The 6,184-nt window shown below is 50.9% G+C and overlaps 1 annotated feature.

The window, feature by feature from the left end:
• Positions 3,143 to 3,359: a silencer, noted in NCBI's record as "fragment chr11:61745853-61746069 (GRCh37/hg19 assembly coordinates)". NCBI's record gives its function as "represses an EF-1alpha promoter that drives an FKBP-Casp9 reporter gene in an ReSE screen in K562 erythroleukemia cells {active_cell/tissue: K562}" and the evidence as "EXISTENCE:reporter gene assay evidence [ECO:0000049][PMID:32094911]".

The raw sequence follows: 6,184 nt of genomic DNA, 5'->3' as shown, positions 1-6,184 counted from the left end.
TACGCCTGGTTAATTTTGTATTTTTAGTAGAGAAGGGGTTTCTCCATGTTGGTCAGGCTGGTCTTGAACTCCCGACCAAGATGATCCACCCGCCTTGGCCTCCCAAAGTGCTGGGATTACAGGCTTGAGCCACCTCGCCCAGCCCCAAGGTGGTACTCTTAAGGTAAGAAGCCTGTACCTCTTCCCCTAAGCTAGTTTTGAAATAAAAAGTCACTTTACTTATACCAGACCTCACTCTTATTATTTGGACTCTGCAAGTGGCAGGCAACTGAACCTGTGTTTTGGTTACAATGCTGCATGTGGAATGTGGGCATGTTTTAACGTGTTTGCCCTGATGTGCAGTGGGGCCTCCCAAATCTGAGTGCTGGGCTCCTAGAGGTCTTCACACAGATCCACATACAGCTCTGAAGTCTGAATGGTGCAGGCCTGAGTGTCCCAGCTGAGGTCACTGTACTCTGGTAAAATCAGACACCAGCAAGCGAGAGCAGAGAGCAATTGGTAAAAACTCTTCCTGTCTCCAGTGAGCCCTGGGGCCCAATGCCATTCAGAAGTGCTCATCAACTCCATTTCCTTAATTTGCTTAAACAACCATTAAGATTTAGACACTCCAAGAGGCAGTACTGGCTCAAGCAAGACCCAGTCAGACAAAGCTCAAGACCTTTTCACAATGCTTGTGAGATGCGGCAGGGCAGGGGGTCCTAACTTTACCCCTGGAAGAAGGAAGCCTGCAGCTCTGGAGGATGCTGGAAGACAGCCAGAGGATGAAGCCCGGTGGATGGGAGCGGATCTGAGAGAATCACAGAGAAACGGGGCCCGAGCCCTGATGGAACCACGTCTAAAGTCCACCTCGTCTGGGCTTTTCAACTCCACAAGTCAATAAATCCCCCTTGTTGCTTAATCTATTGTGGGTTGGGTTTTGTTGCTTGAAAGCAAAATCATCCCGACTGATGTGAGACCTCCCAGCTCTCTCCTCCATCCACCCAGGGCACCATCTCAGAAGCCATGTCTCTCCAGAGCGATTTTCCCTGGAGTATTTTTCACAGGGGTTGGTCTGGAGGCAACTGCACTCAGCCCTTCCATCCTAACACTGACAGTGATGACAGCCCATCTGAAATTCAGGACCTTTTCAGAAATATCCTCCTTCCCTGGGAACGGCAGAGAGTAAGGACATGCAAGAAGCCTGGCTCGGGTGGGATATCTGTGCCAAGGACTGATCACACAGCAAGACAGAGCTGCAGCATCCAGCATTTTTATTTATTTATTTTTTTGAGACGGAGTTTCACTCTTTTTGCCCAGGGTGCAGTGCAATGGTGCGATCTCAACTCACCGCAACCTCCGCCTCGTGGGTTCAAGCGATTCTCCTGCCTCAGCCTCCCGTGTAGCTGGGGTTACAGGTGCATGCCGCCACGTCTAATTTTGTATTTTTAGTAGAAACGGGGTTTCACCATGTTCGCCAGTCTAGTCTCAAACTCCTGACCTCAGGTGATCCGCCCGCCTCAGCCTCTCAAAGTGCTGGGATTACAGGCGCGAGCCACCGCGCCCAGCCCAGCATCCAGCATTTTTGTTGTTCCCCCTTATTCCCTCCATGCCTTGCTAGGGATAACCTGGTAAACAAACAGAAATCTCAAATTCAATAAGCACCCCCATTTGATAAGCATTTACTAAATCCCCATATGGGAGGCACCATGGGCAAACAGTGGAATGACAAGTGGATAACAGGATGGAGCCGAATGATCTGGGCAGTGGGTGGGGACAAGGAGCGGTTCAGAGTGTGGGCTCTGGACTGGAACAGCAGGTGTGTGTCCTTGGGCAAGGTACTTTGTAGTTCTGTGCTTCAGTTTCCTCATCTGTCGAATGACATGTTTGGCCTATGTAGTAAGGGGTCAAGAAGTATCTGCTTTTATTAATAAGTATTAGTTTTTATTCTTACTTGATTCATTTTTAAGAAAAGAGTCTGAGTCTAACCCACCCAGCTGGGTGGAGCTTGGGCCTGAGGACCCCTGCCCTTGGAATACAGGAGTTTTGGGCTAAAGAGCTGACCAAGCTGGTTGGGCTTAAGGCAAACTCCAGAGACCAGTTCCAACTCCCGAGGCTCCCATTCCAGGCTCTTAAGGGGAAACTGCAGGATGGGCCCTCCGTTACCTGGAGTTAAGTGCAAAGAACCATCTCTCACGGGGCAGTACTGGCTCAAGCGAGACCCAGTCAGACAAAGCTCAAGACCTTTTCACAACGCTTGTGAGATGGGGCAGGGCAGGGGGTCCTAACTTTACCCCCCGTTTCGCCCCCCAGCAGGGCAAGGATTCCCCTTTCTCACGATGATTCAATCACATCCAACCAGAGTCTTAGCTGAGGCCCTGCCAGGTGCCAGGGCCTGGTCCCATTCCTGGGAGCAGAGATGAAGACCAGCTTCCTACAAGCCTCCTATGATGCCTTCCTACGAGCCTCCCCTATGATGATGCAATGGCACAGGGCCTCCTGTCACTCAGTAAAGGCCGAAGGAATAAACATTAGCAGGAATAAGAGACAAGCTCTGAATCCAGGAAGACTTCTCGGCAGAGGCAGGATCTGGACTGCAGCTTGGAGAAAGGGTGGATCTTTGATAGATAAAAGTGAACAGCTAGGGGAGGAAAGACTTCAACAAAGGACAGAGGCGGGGGACCAGGGGTGCGGTGGGGCACCCCAGGGGCTGGTGTGGATGAAGCAGAGGACTGTTGGGGCCCAGAGGAGGGACACCAGAGGACAAGCCCTCAGGCAGCCCCACGAGCCTGTTTTGCCCCCCGCCAGAGAGCTGAGGCTGGCACACAGGGGTGGGAGAAGTTCCTTTGTCCTTCTCCTCTTTCTCTGCAACCCTGCCCAGGAAACCAATGATAGCTGCTTGGCACAGAGTTCCCTGTGTTTTTTCATAATCACATAACCGTACTTGAGCACTGCCAGAAGAATTTAATCTCAGGAAGCAGAGAAGCATGAGGAAAGAAGGCTGGTGTGGGAGTCAGAAGGCCTAGGTTTTGGTCCTTGGCTCAGCCACCGACTTTCCCTGTAACCCTGATCTGGTCACCCCAAATCCCCAGCCCCAGATATCATTTTCTTCATCTAACCCAAGGACTGGCATAGAGCTGGCATTTAAAAATGTTTGAAGCCAAGTGCAGTGGCTCAGGCCTGTAATCCCAAGCTTTGGGGAGGCTGAGGCAGGAGGATCTTTGGAGGTCAGGAGTTTGGGACCAGCCTGGGCAATATAGTGAGACCCCATCAAAAATTGCTCTAATTAGCCAGGTGTAGTGGCATGCACCTGTAATCCCAGCTACTCAGGAGGCTGAGGTGGGAGGACTACTTGAGCCCAGGAGTTGGTGGCTGCAGTGAGCTACGATCGTGCTACTGCACTCCAGCCTCGGTGACAGAGTTGAGACCCTGTCTCTATTTTTAAAAAAATAATAACAAAATAAAAACATTAGTTGAGTGATTGAAAGTATTAGATAGTCTCAAAGGCTCCTTCCTGTCTTGAAAATTCTGAGACCCATGCAGGAATCAGTTGCCATTTAGATGATGTAAAACAGTGGTCCCCAGCCTTTTTGACACCAGGCACCGGTTTTGTGGAAGACAATTTTTTCCATGGACAAGGGGTGGGGGAGGGAGATGGTTTCAGGATGAAACTGTTCCACCTCAGATCATCAGGCATTAGTTAGGTTCTCATAAGGAGCGCACAACCTAGATCCCTGTCACGTGCAGTTCACCGTAGGGTTCACACTCCTATGAGAAGCTAATGCCACTGCTGATCTGACAGGAGGCAGAGCTGGGATAACCAGCAGGCAGAGCTTGGAGGTAATGTTCATTCACCCACTGCTCACCTCCTGCCATGCAGCCTGGAGGTGCACAGTCTATGCACCTTCGGTACCAGTCTATGGACCAGGGGTTGGGGACCCCTGATATAAAAGGTAAGTTGACTGAAAAATCTGTTGCAAGTAAAACAAAACATGTCTATCCCTGAATCTAGGGATGGAGGCAGTTCCAATTATAGCACATCACAGAGGTTGGAGGGAGGGAAATAGTTCCCCAGAGGAAAATCTGGATCTAGTGTCCAGAAGACAGGTGGATATTGGGGAGTAGGTATGGATCTGGAGAAATCAATTCCAGAAAAAAGCAAAAAGCAAAACATCCGGATTCCTGCCACTACACATACACACCCCTGTCCACCCACATACACACCCACGATATTGAAAGGGCAGCTGGATAGGTGAGTAAATAGTGGGGAAAAACGAGAGCCACTTGGTTCCAACTAATGCTTTCAAAGAATTACAAAAGGCAGGGATGTTTGACAGGGGGTTAGCATATCATCCGTGCAGCTGGAAACAGATGAGAAAGGTAATAGCATGTAAAGCCCCTTCCCATGGGAAGGCTCTCCTGGCTCTGACTCAGGCCAACTGGCTTCTGAGCCATCAGAAGCTTTGTCAGAAAGGTGGGTGAGCCCTCCGCACAGAAAACCAAGGGTGGGCTAAGGCCCCAGGGGAGGAGCTGGTGTTGCCCCAGTTTGGAGGTGGGTCATCCTATGCTTCCCGGCATGTGAACAGCTTCAGCTCCAGAGGCCCCGAGACTCTTTTAGGCAAGTTTATATGGTTCTCAGATCCTACATACGAAGGAGGTACCATGAGACCCTCAGGGAAGCATCTCCCACCACTCCCTAATATGGTGTGTCTTGTGGCTGAGCAGAGGCCCCCAGCCCCTGGGAGGACCAGCCAAGCACAGTGGGAGTAATGGGGGTCTGAGGAGCCAGCCATGGTCCCTGGGAATTACATGCTCCAGAAATACCCTTAGCTCTCCCATGTGGGCCGAGACCCACTGCCCTGCTCAGAATGCCACTGGATAGCCCCAGTCTACGGGCTGCCCAGGCATCTCCTGGGCCTGCCAGCCATTAGCACCAAGTCCAGATAACTCAAGACCAAGTCCAATTCGCTAAGCCCTGCCACGAGATCCCCAAGAGTGCCATCCAAAGAACCACAAAACTCCCACCAAGCAAACAGACTTCAGTTACTAATCAAATCAGCCCATTAATTTCAAAGATCACCCGTGACAGCTTTGCTGCTGGTAGAATCACAGCAACTACTTTGAAAGCACCCTCGGCCAACTCCAGTGGCTTGAAGCCCACCGAAGTTGGGTGCTGGCTCGCCTTCAGGATTCAGGGCTGCAGGAAGTGCTCTCCACCTGCAGGGATATTTCAGAAGCCTCAGCAAGTGGAATCTTGGAGCTCTTCTTCCTGCATGCTTCGAGATTAAGGGTAATGTATGTGCTGAGTTTAAGAATTGCCGTCATGGCTGTGTCAGGGCACCAGATTCAGAAAATTGCACCACAATCAGAGTCCAGATTCTGGTCAGAGCCCTGTCTCTTACCAGCTGCGCAATCTTAGGCAAGGCCGTCTCTTAACCTCTCTGACTTCCAGTTTCCTCACTGGATAAAGGAAACCTCTGCTGCCAGCACGGGCTACCTGCCCTACCTACTCAGAGGTGCTGTCAGTGTCAGCCCCGAAGGTGTCAACTTACTTTATGTAAAAATCTGTTATTTTATGGAATGAAAACTCCAACAATGCACTGGCCCACCGCCAGGAAGGATAGGACATTGTTTTGTAGTAGCAAGCTGATTTTTATACCAACCCTTCTTGCTTTCCTCCCACATTGGTCCCTAGTGACAGCCCACAGATTCCTCCAGTTGAGGAAACACTCTGTGGCCACAAAAGCAAGCCACAGGAATTGGTCCTCAGAGCCACAGAGCCTGTGACTGTGACATCTCCATCCCCATGGCCGCGCTGGTCCCAGCCCCGACTGCCTCACAGTGTCTTCAGGTCTCTGCCTAGGAATAATCCTGAAACCCCAGAAAGACTCACCAATTCCCAGCATCTTCCATACGGGAGGTAGAAACAGCTGGTAGTCTTAATTAAGTAAAGATGGAAAAACCAAACCTGGCCGGGCCCAGTGGCTCACGCCAGCATTTTGGGAGGCTGAGGTGGGCGGATTGTTTGAGGCCGCACTTCGAGACCAGCATGAGCAAAATGGCAAAACCCTGTTCTACTAAAAATACAACAATTCGCTGGGCATGGTGGTGCATGCCTGTAATCCCAGTTACTCAGGAGGCTGAGGTAGGAGAATCACTTGAACCCGGGAGGCAGAGGTTGTAGTGAGCTGAGATGGCCCCACTGCAC

This window comes from Homo sapiens, chromosome 11 (assembly GCF_000001405.40).
Source record: "Homo sapiens chromosome 11, GRCh38.p14 Primary Assembly".
In the NCBI taxonomy this organism is placed as follows: Eukaryota; Metazoa; Chordata; class Mammalia; order Primates; family Hominidae; genus Homo; species Homo sapiens.
This window is presented reverse-complemented; position numbering and strand designations above follow the sequence as displayed.